This window comes from Homo sapiens, chromosome 18 (assembly GCF_000001405.40).
Source record: "Homo sapiens chromosome 18, GRCh38.p14 Primary Assembly".
Taxonomy (NCBI): Eukaryota; Metazoa; Chordata; class Mammalia; order Primates; family Hominidae; genus Homo; species Homo sapiens.
Genome location: NC_000018.10, coordinates 10,940,041 through 10,961,411, shown reverse-complemented (window position 1 = coordinate 10,961,411; position 21,371 = coordinate 10,940,041). Strand labels below are relative to the sequence as shown.

Genomic DNA, 21,371 nt, shown 5'->3' with positions numbered 1-21,371 from the left:
CCCACAAGTCCCAAAGTCCATTGTATCATTCTTATGCCTTTGCGTCCTCACAGCTTAACTCCCACATATCAGTAAGAACATACGATGTTTGGTTTTCCATTCTTTACTTCACTTAGAATAAGTCTCCAATCTCATTCATGCAGGTCACTGCAATTGCTGTTAATTCATTACTTTTTATGGCTGAGTAGTATTCCATTGTATGTATATACCACAGTTTCTTTTTTTTTTTTTGAGATGGAGTCTTGCTCTGTTGCCCAGGCTGGAGTGCAATGGCACGATCTTGGCTCACTGCAAGCTCTGCCTCCCGGGTTCACACCATTCTCCTGCCTCAGCCTCCCGAGTAGCTGGGACTACGGGTGCCCGCCACCACACCCAGCTAATTTTTTCTTGTATTTTTGGTAGAGACGAGGCTTCACCATGTTAGCCAGGATGGTCTCGATCTCCTGACCTCATGATCCGCCCGCCTCAGCCTCCCAAAGTGCTGGGATTACAGGCATGAGCCACCACCCCGGGCCATACCACAGTTTCTTAATGAACTCTTCTACCAAATGGAACATTTCAGATGACACAGTCCAGTCTCTTCATTTAGAAATAAGGAAACAGAGACACAGTAGTTATGTGATTTTTCCCAAGGTCCCTAAGAGAGGTGATTACAAAGATTGCAGCAGGAGGTTTAGCCAACGCTCGTTTTAAAAGATTTTTGAGAAAATCTAGAATGTAACTTTTAAATTAAGGTTGGGGGACTTTTTTTAGTCTGAGTAATCAGCTCAGGAAAAAACCTCAAACACACAGTTAATTTATACAAACCAATCAAGTAAAAATAGGTGCCCACCCATTCAGGAAAAAAAAAAAAAAGTCTTTGTGGCTACAGTAGTGTAGTTGCTGCAACTCTATTTGTTCTTAATGTTGCCTAAGGTGTTATGATACCCTGTGTCTATAAATGACTTTTGAGGGGATTGGGTATCTCACTCTTCATGTTTTTAATACTTTTAGGGTTTAAATGAAAATAATTGAGTATTAAAACAATATCTTTTAGACTAGAGAATTTCTACTTCTGTGGTAGAGTTTGGCTGTAAGTGCTTCTTGAAAAAGATAAACATTGAATGTATAAGAATTTTTGCTTCCTGCTATACTAAAGCTAGCCCCTTTAAGCTACATTTAAAATATTTAAAACTAGTTCTAGAATATTTGGTTGAATAAAACCAATATTAATAATTATAGTACATACTATGTTGGTTTGGCATTTTTAGGATTTTATAACTTCAATAAAAAGATATAAAGCATTCCCATTTCTGTCAGATCAAGCTCACAGCCTTATGATGTCAATATCCCAAAGCTGATAAAAGCACGATTTACTTCAATTTGATAATTTGTGGACTTGTACAAATATAAAAAGATGAACGTCTATATATAAAATAAATTTAAGGTTCCCTGACAGTAGGAATATAGCTGTTTTAACAGTTACTCAAAAAAGAGTCAGTGTTTAGGAAATAAGAGCTGTCTCTATTTCTTTCTTACAGATATTCTAAGTTTCTAGGGTGCAATAAAGATTTACTAACATAAAAATGCTTCGTGATGAGATTGAAGTTTACGTAATTTATTTAACTTTATTATAGGCGTGTTAAATAAATGTTTTACTTAAAAGAAATGTAGATGTTTGTTATATTAGAGCCATAAATTTTGTCTAGGTCTGAAAATCTTCTCTTTACCCTTGGACAACTCACTGTTCCTCAATGGGACTTTGTAATTTCATGAAATAAAGGGTAGGTAATGGAGCATATGAATCAGATGGATGTTTCATACCAGGTGTTGGCATACATACGCAATACTGAGAAACTGACAAAGTGAGATGCAGAGTCTACACAATCAATTTTAAAAATTGATTCTTTATGTCTTGCTGAATGTGTTATAAGACATCTCATGTCAACCTTTACAGTGGATTGTCTACATGTGATTTTTTGATGTATTATTAATGAACTTGGATATGTGACATTTCTCTCCATTCAAATAATTAAATAATCCAAACTTAAATTATTATTTAACAGCCTGCCTTTAGATAATTGTTAAGTGTAAAATAAAGAAAGAATGTGAAGTTTTTGATGAAATCTCTATAAAATCACTTGCCCTTTTCCATGAACTCAGCTGCAGGGAAGTATACCTTTTACTGTGAAGACTTTGAGAACAAAACAAGACAAATACAAAGACAAATGGAAAACCATTTAAAACAGCTCTTTTAGTTACTAGTGTAAAAATTTGAATCAATATGCTAGTGGCATGCATTTTACTAATAAGCATACATTTCAGTTGTAAGACTGAATCATTAATACATATTTTTGCTGATGACATATATTTAATGTCTTCCCTCTACACTACAGTTATAGGTAGACATTGTAACAGTCACAGGCATTTATTTTACTCTTGGAATTATTTATTATTAGCTTTGAGTCATGGTAGTAAACATTCTCAATAATGATGTAATTTTTAAATTTATTATGCTTTTATAACTGTGCCAGTAAACTTTATACTCAATAATATACAATTCTCATAGACTTGGTATTTCAATTTATATCAAAGTGGCCAAATTTATACCTTAGACTGTGTCTGTATTTTTATAGTTTTAACAGTTACTTTAAATGATGGGTTGCCCGAAGTACATGAATGCATTTCTGGGAAAAGTAGCTTTTTGTTTCTATTAAGGCAAAACTGACAGGCATTATTGTTGTTTAAATTTATTTTTAATTGAGAAATAAGTATTGTGTATATTTATGGGGTATGAGGCGATGTTTTGATCTATGTATACCTTGTAGAAAGACTTAATCAAGCTAATTAATATATCCATTACTTTGTGAACTTATTTTTGTGGTAAAAATGTTAATAATCTATTCTTTTAACCAATCTGAAATATATAATACATTATTATTACTTATGGTCACCATGCAGTGCAATAGATTGCAAACACTTAGTCTTCAGTCTAACTGAAACTTTCTACCCTTTGAACAGCATGTTTTGAAGTCCCTCTCCTCAACTTCCCCTCCCTTTACCCTCTCCTCAACTTCCCCCTTTACCCCAGCCCCTGATGGCAACCTTTCTAGTTTCTGTTTCTATGAGATGGACTTTTTTAGATGCCACATAAAGCGAGCTTATTCAGTAGTTGTCTTTCTGTGCCTGGCTTATTTTACCTAGTCTCAAATGGCAAAATTATTCTCTTTTTAAAGACTGTATAGTATTCCATTGTGTATATACTTTTATAACACATTTTATTTATTTATTCATCTGTTGATGAACACTTTTCAGGTTTTGAGGAGCCACTACACTGCTTTGCATAATGGCTGTACTAATTTACATTCCCACACACAGAGTGTAAGTGTTCCCTTTCCTCCACATTCTTTCCAACATTTGTTATCTTTTATCTTTTTGATAACAGTCATTCTAACAGGCATGAAGTGGTGTCTCACTGTGGTTTTAATTTGCATTTCCCTGATGACTGAAGATGTAGGGCAGTTTTTCATGTATCTGTTGGCCATTCACATCTCTTCTGAGAAATGTTTGTTCAGATTCTTCGCCCGTTTTTAATCAGGTTATTTGTATATTGCTACTGAGTTGCTTGAATTCCGTATGTATTTTGGATATTAGCTCCTTTTCAGATGTATGATTTGCAAATATTTTCTTTCAATGCATGGGTTGTCTTTTCTCTCTGTTAGTTGTTTCCTTTGCTGTGCAGAAGCTTTTTGGTTTGATGCAATCTCATTTGTCTATTTTTTGCTTTTGTTGCCTGTGCTTTTGGAGTTGTATCCAAGAAATCACTACACAGACTAATGTGGAGCTTTTTCCTTATTTTTTCTTCTAGTAGCTTTACAATTTCAGATTTTACATTTATGTCTTGTGCTCATTTCAGCGATTTTTGTATATAGTATAAGAAGAGGGTATAATTTCATTCTTCTGCAAGTGGAAATCCAGCTTTCCCATCATGTTTTTTTGTTGTTGTTGTTGCTTTGTTTTTTTTTTGTTGGTTTGTTTTGAGACAAGAGTCTCTGTCACCCAGGCTGGAGTGCAGTGGCACAATCTTGGCTCACTGAAACCTCTGTCTCCCAGGGTCAAGCGACTCTCTTACCTCAGCCCCCCAAGTAGCTGGGATTACAGGCTCACGCCACCATGCCTGGCTAATTTTTGTATTTTTAGTAGAGATGGAGTTTTACCATGCTCGCCAGGCTGGTCTTGAACTCCTGACCTCATGATCCACCCACCTCAGCCTCCCAAAGTGTTGGGATTACAGGCGTGAGCCACTGCACCTGGCCTCCCAAAATCTTTTATTGAGGAGACTGTCCTTTCCCCATTTGTGTTCTTGACACCTTTGTTGAAAATCAATTGACCACATATACTTAGGTTTATTTCTGGACTGTATATCCTGTTCCACTGGATGATTTCTTTTTTTTTTTTTTTTTGAGATGGAGTTTTGCTCTTGTTGCCTAGGCTGGGGCACAAAGGTGTGATCTCGGCTCACTGCAGCCTCCGCCTCCTGGGTTCAAGTGATTCTCCTGCCTAAGCCTCCCGAGTAGCTGGGATTACAGGCACGCACCACCACGCCTGGCTAATTTTTTGTATTTTTAGTAGAGACAGGGTTTCACCATGGCCAGGCTGGTCTTGAACTTCTGACCTCAGGTGATCCACTCGCCTCGGCCTCCCAGAGTGCTGGGATTATAGGCGTGAGCCACTGCGCCTGGCCTGGATGTTGTTTTTATGCCAATACGATACTGTTTTGATTACAATCACTTTATAATATATTTTGAAATCAAGGAATGTGATGCCTCCAGGCTTGTTTTGCCTTGTCCAAGATTGTTTTAGCTGTTTGGGGTCTTTTGTTGCTCCATACAAATTTTAAGATAATTTTTTTTCAATTTCTATGAAGAATGACATTGGAATTTTGAGAGGGATTGCATTGAATCTGTGGATGGCTTTGAGTAGTAGGGAGATTTTAACAATATTAGTTTTGCCAATCCATGAACATTGGATATTTTTCCATTTATTTGTGTCTTCAATTTCTTTAATTGATGTTTTATAGTTTTCAGTGTACAGCTCTTTCCTCTCCTGGTTAAATTTATTCCTAAGTATTTTTTGATACTATTATAAATAGAATTGTTTTGTTAATTTATTTTTGGACAGTTTTTTGTTAATACATAGAAACTACTTATTTTTGTATGTTGATTTTGTAATCAGCAACTGAAGGGTATTATTATTAGGCTATTGACATTTTTTGAAAATCATGGATTAAACTGGATCAAGACAAGGCTAATCAGGTGAAAACTCATTTCCAGATAGCCACATCAGTCAAAGCCTTATATATGAATTCCATAAAATACTAATAATAATGGAAATTGGACTTAAGCAGAGAGAGGACTGCTCCCTCCCCAAAGAAAGGATGTCAAAGATTTAGGAAAAGCACAGCTCAGGTTTATTCATTCATCATCTAACAAATATTTATTGATCACCCACTATGGTTATAGCTACTGTTCTAATGCTGGGGATATGGTAGCTTAAAAACAAACAAACAAAAAATTTAAATCCTTGCTCTCAAGGAGTGTTCTATAATGTGGAAAACATATAAAAACAAGCATGATAATATTCTAATGGTAATACTTACTTACTAAGAAAACATCAATCCAAAATATAAAAATGAAATATTGGAGTTCTCTGTACTTAAAATTTTATATAAGTTATGATAAAATGGAAGTGGAAATGTGAAAAATATAGTAGAGATCTTCTTACATGGTACCCCTGTGTTAGCAGATGTTCTTCTCATACACAGGGCTCCTGTTTCAGCAGATATCTTCCTCATAACATGGAGCTTTTGTTTTGGGGTCAGTTTACTTCCAAAGCGTGCACTCTCTAAAGTTGTTTACACAGAACTGAAATGTTATAATAAGCAGATTGAAGCAAAACACTAAAATACAAGCACTTTATTCTAGTGGCTGCATGATGACACCTCTCACCTCAGAATCTTCAGATAACAGGTAACCAAGAAAGAAAACATCTAGACCAGATTCAAGGACTACAGGCCTCCCAGACAGGCCATGCCAATAGCTGTCTCCTTGCTCTCTTGCTCTTCTGTTTTCGTTTTCCTACCTGAGCCCAACCTCGATTGCTCTTCCTAAAGTCCTTTTTGTCAATGGAGATTAAGGCTGATCTTGATATGAATGTAATTTGGCTTGAGTTTTAGAAACTCTTTCTGTTTAAACCCACAATTTCAATTCCAGCACAAAATACAATTAAAGGAAACTTTTGTTCTCCTGGAGCTGTTCAAGTAAAGCGACCCCCACATCTCTCTCGGCTTTCCTTTGCCTCCTCTTTCTTCCTTTTGTGCCCCTCTTTCTTCTCCTACTCTCATCTCTTCTTTCTTTCTACTTCCTCCTCCTTTTCCCTATTCCCTTTGTTTCCTTCTATGTATTGACTGGCAGCAATTTTTGATGTATTATCTAAAGTGCAAGAATAATTTTAATGAACCCAGAAAATATATTCAATCTCCTGAAGTTTATACTTTTCTGGGGAGATCAAGGAAAACATTACTAACATCAGAGAGAAATGAGAGAAGAAGGCCTTGCATTCTGAGTTCTCTGTTCTCTTTAGCGTCAGATGCTTCTCATGCGTTGCTTCAGGTCCTCCTGGTCTCCCCTGTCTCTGGGACCTGTGGCCACTTGCTTCTGCCACAGCCATCACCATGGCAACCAGTCCCAAAAGTGGACTGCAGTGGACTTCGAGTGCCGCCATCACTCTAGCTCAGCCCTTTTTCTTCTCCCTTCCCCTCCTCCCTCTTCTTCTCATCATTATTGTCCATCTATGAAGGATTCCCTTACCCACATAAATATGCAGAGACACCATCAATGTAGAATATTTCAAAAAGTCAACATCACAGGATGCAAGATCAACATACCAAAATAAATTGTATTTCTACATATTGGCAATCAACAATTGGAAATAGCTTTTTTAACAAAATGTTATGTACAATAATACAAAAAATACTTTGATATAAATCTAAAAACAATGCAAGACCCATATGCTGCAGAAATAAATGAAACAAACCCTAAATAAATGCAGAGATACATTGTGTTCATGGATTGGAAGACTCACTGTTGTTAAAATGTCCTTTCTCTCTAAACTGATCTATAGGTTCAACACAATTCTAGTCAGAATCCCAGCAGGATATTTTTGTAGAAATCAACAAGCTGACTCTAAAATATATATGGAAAAAAAACTACAATAGCCAAAGTAATTTTGAAAATGAAAAATAAAAATTTGAAGATTTACACTATCTGATTTCAAGACTGAGTTATATAGTGTAAGGCCTAAAATTTCACAGGCTGTCTTATATTTTTAAGCCTCAAGGGACCCTAAAGGCCATATTGTGAGTTCCCTGCTTTCAGCAGATGTGACCCTGTGCTGAACCAGCTGCACACCACCTGGTCCTCAATCTGACAGACTTCAGTTCCCTGCCAGCCGCAAATCATTAAAACAAGGCAGTATCGTCCTCACATAGTAACCAGGGGCACCCTGTGCTGTTGATATTCAAAGCCTGCCTCTCTCTTGCTGCCCCTGCTTGTTCATCTGTTCCCAAGTGCACCCCGGTGTGGCCCTGTGTGGTGTGCAGTGTCCTCCCGCAGGACCATGAGTAGATGTGGGTAATAAAATGCTGCCCATCTATCTGCCCAGTGTTGCGATGTGTTCAACCATCTCATTCTGTTTAGGGCAGTGGATGCCTTCCTCACTAATGAGGTGAATACGAGGTCATCATAGCACTATAAAACCACAGTAATCAAGCCAGTTTGCTATTGGTGAAGGAAAAAAAGAGTACAGAAATAGACCCACATGTATGTGCACGGCCACTTGATTTTCCATAGAGATACAAATTCAATTTTGTGAAGAAAGAATACACTTTTCAACAATAGTGTTTTTTTATATTAAAAAAAGAACTTAAATTCTTAATTTGCTCCATATACAAAAATTAATTAACTCAAAACAAATCATAAACCTAAATGCAAAGATTGAAACCATAAAACTCTTGCAAAAAATATAGGAGAAAATGTTTGTAATCTTGGGTTAGGGAAGGGCAAAGTTTTCTTAAATACAACATCAAAATCACAACTCATAAGAGAAAAAACTGATAAATTACACTTCATCAAAATGAAGAACTTCTGCTCTTCAAAATCCAGTGTTAATACAATAAAAAGGCAAGCCACAAATTGGAATAAAGTATTTACAAACTATATATCTGATTAAGGACTTGTATCCAGTATTTATGAAGAACTCTTAAAACTCAATACTAAGGAAACATCTCATTTTTTTTAATGGGCAAAATTTTTGAATAGACACTTTACCAAAGAAGATATACAGATGATGAATAAACACATTAAAAGATGTTTAACATCACAGTCATTAGGTAAGTGCAAGTTAAAAACCGGAGATGACTACTATATACTTCTTAGAATGAAAAAAAGAAGGAAGGAAGGAGGGAGGGAGGGATGGAGGGAGGGATGAAAGGAAGGAAGGAAGGAAGGGAAGGCATTCCAAATGCTGAGGAAATATGGAGATGTAGAACACTTGGAATTCAAATACATTTCTGGCGGGAATGTACAATTATATAGACACTTTGAAAAATAATCTTCCAACATATTATAAATTTGACCATATACTTACTATTCAGTCCAGGAATCCCACTGGGTGATATTTCCTCCGGTGAAGTGAAAATTTGACTTTAAAATTTTAAGCAAATGTTTAAAGCAGGTTTATTCGTCATTGCCCCAACTGGAAGCAACTTCAATGTCTTTCAGCAAACTTGGTCCCTGGATGGACTACACAGGTCAACAATAGAAAGCAACAAACTATGGGTACATGCAAGAGCATCTCAATTCAGCATTATGTTAAGTGAATTCAGACAGTATCAGAATGCTACATACTATATGATTATATTTACAATAATTAGTGAAACTGTAAGGGTAGAAAGTGCATCATTGCTCACCATGGGGTGGAGGATCAGGGGAGTGGCTGACTACAATGACCATGGAGAATTTGGTGGGCTGATGGAACTTTACATTTTGACAGTAGTGGTAGTTAAATGACTGTATGGATTTGTAAGAAATTGAGAAATTATACATGCAAAAATTTTACTCTGTGTAACTTATAATCTAATAAGAAAAAAAATGATTTAAAAAGAGCCAGCGACCACAGTGGTAACACATTGGAATTTTCCTCTCACTGTTTCACTGTTTGTTTTGGGGGCTCTACTGAAGAGTAGAGAGATCAGAGCAGTAGATTCTGGTTTTGCTGTACCACTAAGCAGCCACAGGTTCTCAAGATCATGATGACTTTCCCCAAGAGCTATTGTGGAGGCCAAATCAGATAATGTTTCAGAGACAGTTTCACAATATAAGAAGCCCTATACTTGACAAAGTACAGTTATAATTATGTATAATATTTGGCAGTGATAAATTCTTCATAGCATTTTCCTGTTTCATATCTCATAATCATTCATTAATTTGGCAAATATTACTTGAATATTTTGGCACACTCTTGTCCCCAAAGTGTTCTAGCTCCAGGGAATGATAGATAAGTAAGCTACAGTCCACTGCCCTTGGGGAATTCAGAATCAAGGGTGACAGGTAGACTTATCAACAAGTCCTGTAATAACATATGATGAAGCTGGTACAGAGATAAATATGAGATAAAAAGAAGTGGTTCCCAAAAGAATGATTAAAGTTCTCCTCCAGGGGTGGACCTTGGAAAGTAATCCAAGAACTTGGAAAGTCTTAGATATCATTTATAGGAGTTTAGAATTTAACCTATAGGTGGAAGGGAGCCACTGAGGGTTTTAAGTAGTGGTGGCAACACAGCAGATGACGTTTTAGAAACATTATCTGGCAACGGTGTGAATTTTTGTGCACATACGTGTTGGGGTGTGGATATGCATGTGTGTGAGAAGGGATTTGGGCATTGGAGGCAGAAAGACAGGTCAGAGACTTGTCAAAGTTAAATAAAATATGTAGAGATGAATCCCTCAACTTAATCGTCAGATTTCATTTGGGATACAAGAATTGCAATTCGGGGAAGAGTCACAGACCAGATGGTCTTTGGTATGTCTGAGAAACAAAGAGAAGGTTTTATAAAGAAGGGAAATGTTATGTATTGTCTTGTGAGAAAGTTCTTTGGTATTAGTAAAGTTTTGGAAAGCTGGAAAGCTCTGATTGGTTACTGACAGCAGTGGGTAAAATTAGTCATAGAATTGCAGCAGGTGGTTGCAGCAAATATTAGATAAAACCAGTTTCGGGTTACAGCAGGTAGTTTCAGCACCTGGACTTGCAGAGAATTACATTTTTGGAGCAATGTTGTGTGCCCTGAGTGTTTTTTTCCCCCAGCTTCTCAGCTGTTTCAGTTGGGTATAACAAGAATGACCCAATTTGTATGATCGACTTTCACAGACTGTTGGGTGAAAAACAATGAGAATCCAAACTAAGGCAATTGCAGAGCGATTTTAGAAAAGGAGACTGCTTCAAGAAATATTTTGGGAGTAAAATCAGCGAGGCTTATTGTCTAATTCCATGTTGAGGAATGGGAGACAGAAGCTAACTCAGTGGATGAAGATACCGTTTAAACAGTGTAAGGCCGGTACGAGGAAGCTCGGATTTGGTACAGAAGAGGGAAGAGGAGGAAGGGGAAGGGAAAATGTTTGACAGGTTTGTGTTTGAAATCCTGAGATCAATGTGTGTGTAAATGGATCTATGGTTTAGAAAAGAAATCTTAGAGACACAAAGTTGGGTGTTATCAGAATACTGGAAATAGATAAAGCCACATATACAATAACTTACTTTTCTCGTTCCCTAGTTGGAAGAAATAACCAAAGACACAAGTAATATTCACCCGGTGATCAGATATCACAGTGAAATGACAAAGTATCATGCCTTAGTTTTTGCGAGTGTAGATTTTGTTCAGTCCTTGTCTTCCATTCTGTCCTTCAAGCATGTGTTTTGTTGTGTTTTTGAGTCTCCCTCTTCCACTAGATTGTGAACTATTTCAGAGAGGCTTATTTCTTTCTTACCTTCAGCTTTAAGCCTCGTGCCTGGCACACAGCAGACACTCAAGTTTTTAAGTGATGTGACGACTGGTGATTATCTATTGACTTTCCCCCGTCTCGTTACATAGAGCATACTAATTTGCAAATGAAAAAAGTGGGCTTATCTATGCTAACCCCTTGGCTGGAGTTAAACTATAATTCATAATTTATTTTCAATATTAACCCTCATTAAAATATATAGGGTACTGCCAACATTTTTAGAAACTCTTACCAAATGTAAATCGAGTTCAACACCTGGTTCATTCATTTTTTAAAAGTAATATTGTTTTTCTTTGTTTTCATAAGATTTAAAACAAACCATCATTACTGCCTCAATCTTATTCACCCAGTGTTTTTTGGTGAAGTATTTGAAATGTATTGCTGTCTTTCAAGGACACTATTAGAAGGCCTTCTGAGCCAGAGGAGGCTGCCTTCTGCTTATCGGTCTTGTTATCAGTGACAGTCATTGTGGAGGATGTAAGTTGAGAAATAGGAGAGGCATCACTTTGACCACAACTGTGTGTCAGTCTCCTGAATGATTTTCCCTCCTGTTTTGAAGTATCTGATAATGACTTCTTAGAGGGTCTGGAAAGAAAACACCTTCTCTCTGCATTTCCCTTAGATACTCTGCATAAGCTGGCCTTGTATGAATGCAATAATTTTCCAACCAATTGTGGCTGGTGTCACAACCAATTCAATGCACTTCTGAGATTGTTTATCCAGATGGAATAGAAAAATGTGGTGCAGGGCTGCTGCATGGGACCCGGGAGCCAGAATGGCTGACTTTTACCCTGACCTCACTTTGTGCTTGTAGACAGAGTGGGAATCCAGGTTCTTGGAGCTCTCCTGTCACCCCTGGGCTAGAGAACAAAGCCCTTGGAGGATGCCTACGAAGAATGTTGAGAACAAGTGCGATCTTTAGCCCAACCTCTTTTTTAAAAGCATTATTTGAGCATGTTCAGGTTGCTTTAATATAATTTGTTTGATTGTTCTTGTTTTTGTAGGGTGTATTGCATTGATTATGTGAAGGGCAAATGTACATAGACTCATCACTCATATCCTGCATTAGTATTGATTTAGACTGCTACAAACTGGCAGGAAATGAGAAAAAAATGTTTCCTACTTCTCAGTCATAAGCCAATTAAAAAATTCAAAATGTATACAATTACTTCCTCGGAAATTTTATCTCAGAATAGATATAACTACAATTTCTACTAACCAACAAATGACCATTTCTGTATGATGAATACTCAGGGTTCTAATATTCAGCCTTCTTTTAAGGACTTTCTAATTTTGCATTGAGATGGACACATTTCATCTATTATTCAGGAGCAGAGAAAACATGCTTTCATAAAAGCAACCTGTTTACAAAAGGCTGGCTGTTATAAACAGGCCGTAACACCCTCACATATATTGTTATGAAAGTGAAGGTATGCATCTGTATGTATCTATACAAAACACACCATTTAATGTATTTGTGTATTTGTATTTCTGTAACATACACACATTATAAAATCAATCTAAGGTCAAATTCTCCATCATAAGTGTGAGTTGACAGAGAGGATCATATCTTTGTAAAATATTATGAAATTATATGGCAGTTTGGAAAAAGAATCAACGGTGGTTTTGTATCTGCTTCCAGACATTTCCCCCTCTGCAAGCTTAAATTTGCACACAGTACCCCACAGCACTCGAGCGCGTATCTCTATCGCCAAAGTGATTTCTATCATGTCCTAACCTCATTAGTGAACACACTCACAGACTCTCAACACCCATTCTAATCAAGAAGCAAGAAAACAAAATGCATCAATCTTAAAACATCATCAATGCAACAAATTAAGCACAAGGTCAAATTTCATTAGGGTTATTTGGCATTTGCTGGTAGTGAAAGATTGCATTAAACCAAAAAAAATGCATCACACGAATTTTTTTGTAACACATACCCTTTAGTAAGTCTTCTAAGTCAACAAAATTAATTTTATCTCGTAAAGAAGCTTTGATAAATAAAGAGCTGTTGGTCAGAATATAAAGATAGTTCAATCACATACATGATTATAGTTACAATAATTTTAATGTAATATTGTATTGACTCATCCATGTATATTTAAATTTTTATTATATATTGAAATTATTTTTAAGACATGCAGATTAGCAATAAAACTAAAAAATTACCTATGTCTTAGAAATCTTGGTGTGCTCCTCCATATACTTGAAAGCATTTCCATTTAATGTGATAATTGATATGTTTAAACTGGTCTGTCATCCACTGTTTTTTCTGTTTGCACTATCTGTTCTTTTCTTTCTTTTTTCTTTTCTTCTTTTGTAATGTGTGCTTTTAAATTTCATTTTTATTTTAATTGTTTAATTATTTTAGTGGGTTTCTTTGGATTTATATGATTCACCTTTAATTTATCACAATCTGCCTTCAGGTAATACTAAACCACTTCATTTATTATGAACTTTGCAATAGTATACTAGCATTTCTCTCTTCCCAGCCTTTGTGCTATTAATGACATATGTTGTCCTTATATATTATAAAGCCCATAATATATTGTTATCATATTTGTTTGAACATTCATCTTTCAAAGAGATTTACTTAATGTATAAACTATCCTATCTGCTTACCTATGTAGTGACCATTTCTAGTGCCCTTTCTGTCTTTTGTACCCCCACAGTTTCATTCGGCATCATTTCCTTCCATCTGAAGGACTTTCTTTTTTGAGAGAGAACTCTCTTCTTTGAGAGCAATTCTTCTGAGAGACTCTGCTGGTAAAGCATTTTAGTTTTCTTCTATTGAAAGTAGTTTTTGGCCTTCACCTTTTTTGATGTTTTCATGGCACATCTTTGCCCATCTTTTTACTTGCAATCTCTTTATTTCCCCTTCATTCCTGAAACATACTTTTATAAGACACAAAATTTACAACAGACAGTTATTTTCTTTCAGTACTGAACTTGAAAAATATTGTGTCACTTTTTTTCTGGCCTCCGTGGTTTTAGGTGAGATACCCATTCTAATTTGAAATGTCATTCCCTTAGACGTAATGCATCATTTCTCTCGGGCTGCTTTCAGTGCTTTTTCTCTTCCCAAAAGATTATTTATTCTGAAATCTGATTCATTTATTTATTTTAGTTTATTTTCTGCTTTTTTTCTACAGATTTTTTTCCCTTCAAGTTCATCATATTTATTCTATCCTCTATCATCTCTCTCAGTTTTACTATTATAACTTTCTAATGTGTTTAAAGATTTTGGATTTGTAACTTTTTTATTTCATAAATTCCACTTAGTTGTTTTTTTAATAACTTCTATTTTGTATTAAAATTTTCCATTTTTTATTTGTTTTAAGATAATTCATAATTGCTGGTTGACGTATGTTTACAATTTCTGCTTTAAAATTCTTGCCAGATAATTCCAACATCTGATTTATCTTAGGGTTGGTGTCTGTTAGTGCCCTTTTCTTACTCAAGTTATAATTTTCCTTGTTCTAGTTAGGATGAGTGATTTTTAATTGTATCTATCATAGGTGTTTTGGATATTGTATTATGAGATTCTAGATACTATTCAATCTTGTTTTAAACCAAGTAGTTCCCCTATTGAGGTTCAGTATGAGGGCCAAGTGAGTATATATGTTCAGCTTTCCACTAAGCCCTGGCAGCACCAGCCCAGCGGAGTGGAGCTCACTCACACTGCCTCATTGCAGATGGGTGAGGTGGAAGTTCAGCTCCTCCTCAACCCTGATGACACTGTCTTAGTGACTATTGAGCACTGTCTCTCACCATCTCATTGCCTTCAAAAGGGGATGTAATCTCAGCTCCTTGCTCAACCCTGTTAACACCAGGGAGAGGAGAAGTGGAGGCCTGACTCACACTGATTTGTTGCTGCAGAGTGGGGGTAGAATCACAGTTTCCCAGTGGTCATCCCTTTCATTTTTGAAAGATATGTTTGTAGGGTATAAAAATTACAAATTGACATATATTTTGTTTTTCTCCTAGTATTTTTAAAATGTTGCTCCACTGTCCTCTCACTTCATTGGTTCTGATACAAAATCTGCTGTCATTCCTATCTTTGTTTGTCTGCCTGCAACATGACTTTTATCTCTGGCTGCTGTTAAGATTTTCTATTTTTCATTGATTTTGAGCATTTAAATTATGATATGCCATAGGGTGATTTTCTTTATCTTTCTTGTTCCTAGGGTTCATTGAGCTTCTTGAATCTATACATTTATGGTTTTCATCAAATTTGGGAAATATTCTGCCATGATTTTGGGGTCCAATTACATGTATACTGTGCCACTTGGAGTCACCTGTACCTCAGTAATACTCTTTATTTTTATTGACTGTTTTTCCTGTGTTTCATTTTGGTTAGTTTCTGATGCTGTATCCTCACATTCACTAATCTTTTCTTTTGCAGTGTCTAATCTGCTTTTAATCCCCATTCAGTGTGTTTTCAATTTCAGGCATTATAGTTATTATCTCAAGAAGTCCAATTTTTTCTTTTGATGTCTTCTCTATATCTACTTAACTGTTTGAACATATGGAATGCAATTATAATAACTTTTTATTTTCTTGCCTTCCAATTTGAACACCTTTGGCAGTTCTGGGAAGATTTTGATTGATTTTTTCTGCTGATTATGGGTCCTATTTTCTGCTTCTTTATATATGTGGTCATTTTTTATTGGATACCTAGCTTGTGAATTTTACCTTGTTGGGTGCTAGACATTTTTATATTCCTATACATATTTTTAAGCTTGGTTCTGAAATGCAGTTAAGTTATTTGGAAATGTTTTGATCTCTTGGGGGTGTTTTGTTTAAACATTTGTGAGGCAAGACCAGACCAATTTCAATCCATGGGCATTTTTCCCCACTACTGAGGCAAGACCCTTTTGATTATTCTACTCAATGTAGACAGTATTCCTCTGTGAGAAAGGTGGGCACTGTTCTCTCTTAAGGAAGAGAGGGTCTTTTAGAGAGTTTCAGCCAGGTGCAGTGGCTCACATCTGTAATCCCAGCACTTTGGGAAGCTGAGGTGGGAGGATCCCCTGAGCACAGGAGTTTGAGGCTGCAGTGAGCTATGATTGTGCCACTGCACTCCAGCCTGAGTGACAGAGAGACATCTTGTCTCTAAAAAATAACACCTAAAAATCATAGGGCGTCTTCTTCAGATTCAGGTAGTTTCCTCACATGCATGTACTGGTCACTACTTGGCTGAATTCACAGATCTCCGGGGCCCTTCTTCTGTGCTGCAATCTATTCTCTAATACTCTTTCCTGTGAACTGTAGCATTCTTGACATCCCTGGATTCTTAGCTTTGTCTCCTCTACTGAGGGAGTACCCTGGGTTCTGCCTGGCTTCTTCTTCCCTCCCTGCACTGCACATGGACATTATCTCACGGCAAGAATCTGGTAGCAACAGTTAGCTTTGCTTCTTTTTCTCCCCCCTTAGGAACCACTGTCTTTCGTTGCCTGAAATTCAGTGTCTTGAAAATACTTGTTTCATAAATTTGTCTTTGATATGCTTTTATTTGTTTTGCTTTTGGTTGTCTCTGGTGGGAGAATAAATCTGAATTTTATAACCCATCTTGGCTGAAAGTGGACACTGTCTCATCAATTTCAAGATATTATTTTACTCACTCTTGCCTCTAATGTTGTGTTCACACTAATTTTCCTCCTTTTTAGGCAATCTGCTTTTCCTGTCAGGCTGATTTTAAGAAATTTTCTTTGTCTTTGGTGTTCTTTACTTTCACTTAGATATATATATATATATCTGTTACTAAGATATATATATATATATATATATATATATCTGTTACTAAGATATATATATATATATATGTTACTAAGATATATATAATCTGTCACTGAGATATATATATATCTGTGTCCATTTGTATTTTCATTTGTGTTACAAAGGCTGTCATAATACAATTCAATAACTGATGATTTCATCAATCTGAAAAAATTGGTACACGTTATCCCACCGAATATTGTTTCTTTCTTGGTCTTTTTATTTTTTAGTTTTTAAAACTCTGATTAGGGTAGAACTCTGTCCTTCATGTTGTATTTTGGATAATTTCTTTTGAGCTTTCATTTCCTGATCCCCTATTCACTTGTGCCCAAACTGATGATTGCCTCATCCACCGAGTATTTGTTTTAAATATTTATGTTTTCATTTCTTATTTTATTTTTTGTTGTTTAAAAAATCCTCATTTGTCATTGCATTAGTCTGTCTTCATGCTGCTGATAAATACATTCCTGAGACTAGACAATTTACAAAAGAAAGAGGTTTATTGGATTTACGGTTCCACATGGCTGGGGAGGCCTCACAATTACGGCAGAAGGCAAGTAGGAGGAAGTCACATCATACGTGGATGGCAGCAGGCAAAGAGAGAGCTTGTTCAGAGAAACTCCCATTTTTAAAGCCATCAGATCTCGTGAGACCCATTCACTATCATGAGAACAGCACTGGAAAGACTTGCTCCCATGATTCAGTCATCTCCCACCGGGTCCCTTCTGCAACTCTCACATATCTCTGTATGGAGACACAGAACTAAACCATGTCATTCTGCCCCTGGCCCCTCCCAAATCTCATATCTTCACATTTCAAAACCAATCATGCCTTCCCAACAGTCCCCCAAAGTCTCAACTCATTTCATCATTAACTCAAAAGTCCACAGTGCAAAGTATTATCCAAGACAAGGCAAGTTCCTTCCTGCTTATGAGCCTGTAAAATCAAAAGCAAGTTAGTTACTTCCTGTATACAATGGGGGTAAAGGCATTGGGCAAATAAAGCCATTCCAAATGGCAGAAATTGGCCAAAACTAAGGTGCTACAGGCCCCATGCAAGTCTGAAATCCAGCAGGGCAGTCAAATCTTAAAGCTCCGAAATGGTCTCCTGTGACTCGATGTCTCACATCCAGGTCACACTGATGCAAGAGGTGGTCTCCCACGGCCTTGGGTAACTCCACCCCTGGGGCTTTGCAGGGTACAGCCTCCCTCTTGGCTGCTTTCACTGGTTGGAGTTGAGTGTCTGCGGCTTTTCCAGGCACATGGTGCAAGCTGTTGGTGGATCTACCATTCTGGGGTCTACAGGATGGCAGTGGCCCTCTTCTCACAGCTCCACTAGGTGGTGCCCCAGTAGGGACTGTGCGTCATGGCTCTGACTCCACATTTCCCTTCCTCACTGCCCTAGCAGAGGTTCTCCATGAGGACCCTGCCTCTACAGCAAACTTCTGCCTGGTTATCCAGGGGTTTCCATGTATCTTCTGAAATCTAGGTGGAGGTTCCCAAACCCCAGTTCTTTACTTTTGTGCACTCGCAGACTACTCAACACCATGTGGAAGTTGCCAAGGCTTGGAGCTTGCACCCTCTGATGCCATAGCCCAAGCTCTGTGTTGGCCCCTTTCAGCCATGGCTGGAGTGACTGGGACGCAGGGCACCAATTCCCTAGGCTGCACACAGCACGGGGACCCTGAGCCTGGCCTACTAAATCACTTGTTTTACCTAGGCCTTCAGGCTTGTGATGGGAGGGGCTGCCATGAAGAACTCTGACATGCCCTGGAGACATTTTTCCCATTGTCTTGGGGATTAATATTTGGCTCTTCATTACTTATGCAAATTTCTGCAGGTGGCTTGATTTTCTCCACAGAAAATGGGATTTTCTTTTTTATTGCATTGTCAGGCTGCAAATTTTCCGAACTTTTGTGCTCTGCTTCTCTTCTAAAACTGAATGCCTTTTACAGGACCCTCTTGAATACTTTGTTGCTTAGAAATTTCTTCCGCCAGATACCCTAAATCATCTCTCTCAAGTTCAAAGTTCCACAAATCTCTAGGGCAGGGGCAGAATGCTGCCAGTCGCTTTGCTAAAACATAACAAGAGTTGTGTTTGCTCCATTTCCCAACAAGTTCCTCATCTACATCTGAGACCACCTCAGCCTGGATTTCATTGCTCATATCATTATCAGCATTTTGGTTAAAGCCATTCAACAAGTCTCTAGGGAGTTCCAAGCTTTCCCACATATTCCTGTCTTCTTCTGAGCCCTCTAAGCTGTTCCAACCTCTGCATGTTACCCAGTTCCAAAATCGCTTTCACATTTTGGGATATCTTTTCAGCAGCGCCCCACCCTACTGGTACCAATTTACTGAATTAGTTCATTTTCATGCTGCTGAGAAAGACATTCCAGAGACTAGGCATTTTACAAAAGAAAGAGGTTTATTGGACTTACAGTTCCACATGGCTGGAGAGGCCTCACGATCGTGGCCGAAAGCAAGGAGGAGCAAGTCACATCTTACGTGGATGGCAGCAGGCGAAGAGAGACTTGTACAGAGAAACTCCCATCTTTAAAACCATCAGATCTCGTGAGACCCCTTCACTATCATGAGAACAGCACTGGAAAGACCCACCCCCCATGATTCAGTCATCTCCCACTGGGTCCCTCCCACAACATGTGGGAATTATGGGAGCTACAAGATGAGATTTGGGTGGGAACACAGAGCCAAACGGTATCAGTCATTTTGGTCTTTTGCTTCCTATTTACATTTCAACCTTCATTTTTGTTTATTTAAATACATTAAATCAATTTATTTTATATTCTGAGTCTAGTAATCCCAATAACTCTCAGTTGTTACTTTTGGTTTCCAATTATGTTTCTTTGGGTTCTTGAATGTTTTCCTACTGTTACTTTCATCTCTTATTCCTGGAACATTTGTCCTAGAGAAATACTTAGAGGCTTAGAATGAAAACGTATTCCTTTTTAAAAGAATGTGTTTGCTTCTACTAGGCAATTGAGGGACTCTACCAACCTGGTAGCACTTTAAAATGAATTCTCAGAATATTTTCAGATCATTTAGGATGTGTGAATTTGTGTGGGGTTCATTTCCAATTAAAATTTATACTAAACAAGCAACCCTTTAGGGTCCCAACTTCATTATTCAGATGTCTTCATTTGTACTGTCTACTTGGGGTGTAAGCGGGGATTGATAATCATCTCAGAGTGTTCTGTATTATTATCTAATATTACAAGGGAAAGGGAAGACAATTCTAGAGTGCGAGCCTGCTATTAACTTAGTTTTTGTCCTCTAAGGATTCCTTACTCTCTCTAAGGATTCCCACTTTCAGTCACTGATGCATTTAAATGTCTAAAAAATGTTGACCCCAACATTTTTTTTCATTTTTTAGTTGGGATAATTGTTTAGGGTGTCTAGTTGGCCATACTGACAAAAATGGAAGTCCCTTATGTTTAAGATGTTTAAATTTTGAGACAATTGATATTTTCAAATCAATGTTGTAATGCTGTAAGTAAACCCAGGCAAGTTTGGTCGTGTACAATTGTTATTTTTAGTAAATACCAAAAATCCTTGTTATTTAGAAGAAATGCAGAGCCATATATATTTTCTCTATAACCTTGCTATAGTAATGGGTAACCATGAAAATATATCTCAGACTGAATTCTTTTTTTTTTTTGAGATGGAGCCTTGCTCTGTAGCCAGGCTGGAGTGCAATGGCATGATCTCAGCTCACTGCAACCTCTGCCTCCCGGGTTCAAGCGATTCTTCTGCCTCAGCCTCCCCAGTAGCTGGGACTACAGGCGCGAGCCACCATGCCCAGCTAATTTTTGTCTTTTTAGTAGAGATAGGGTTTCACCATGTTGGCTAGGATGGTCTCAATCACTTGGCCTTGTGAGCCGCCCGCCTGGGCCTCTCGAAGTGTTGGGATTACAGGCATGAGCAGCAGTGCCCGGCCTGAATTCTTTTAGACATGTGAACATTATCAGCAGGCACAAAAGCAGTAATGTGTCCTGTCCTATATTCTTCATAAAGTCCTGATCCTAGTTCTAGAAAGAACTACAAGGATACCTTATGTAAAATGTTCACTGGAGGAAAACACTAGGATATTCTGCAGGTAAGATTCGCTTATGTTGTTGGCATCCATGTAGCACTGATCCTGTGAAATCAGTATCTAGACCCAGTACTTTTACAGAATCACTGTACTTAACTAAAAGGTGCTAATCTGTTAGGGTGAAGAGGAAGAGCTCACTAGATTTTTATTACCAATTCATGCCAGGGCTTTATGAGGTACTCACTAATTCACGCATCTTGAATATCAGCAATCACCAATGAACACTCACTTTAACATTTATTTTAATAAATAACAAATTCGTGTGCTAATCAAAGATGGCCAAAGCCTCCTCTGAAGTGTGTTTTTTTGTAGGAAAGGCTGGCGAACCACTCCCTGGAGTTTGTTTCTGATGAGGGGAAACTCACTGTCCCCAGAGTATAGATAA

At 37.4% G+C, this 21,371-nt stretch overlaps 1 protein-coding gene across 11 annotated transcripts in view, besides 2 other annotated features; it reads left to right on the top strand.

Moving 5' to 3' along the window:
* The window catches only part of PIEZO2 (piezo type mechanosensitive ion channel component 2), a 479,323-nt gene that overhangs the window by 188,158 nt on the left and 269,794 nt on the right, over positions 1-21,371 (top strand). The window lies entirely within an intron of this gene.
* Positions 9,265-9,414: an enhancer, noted in NCBI's record as "active region_13089". NCBI's record gives its function as "activates an Ori minimal core promoter by ATAC-STARR-seq in GM12878 lymphoblastoid cells {active_cell/tissue: GM12878}" and the evidence as "EXISTENCE:reporter gene assay evidence [ECO:0000049][PMID:35858748]".
* Positions 11,647-11,806: an enhancer, noted in NCBI's record as "active region_13088". NCBI's record gives its function as "activates an Ori minimal core promoter by ATAC-STARR-seq in GM12878 lymphoblastoid cells {active_cell/tissue: GM12878}" and the evidence as "EXISTENCE:reporter gene assay evidence [ECO:0000049][PMID:35858748]".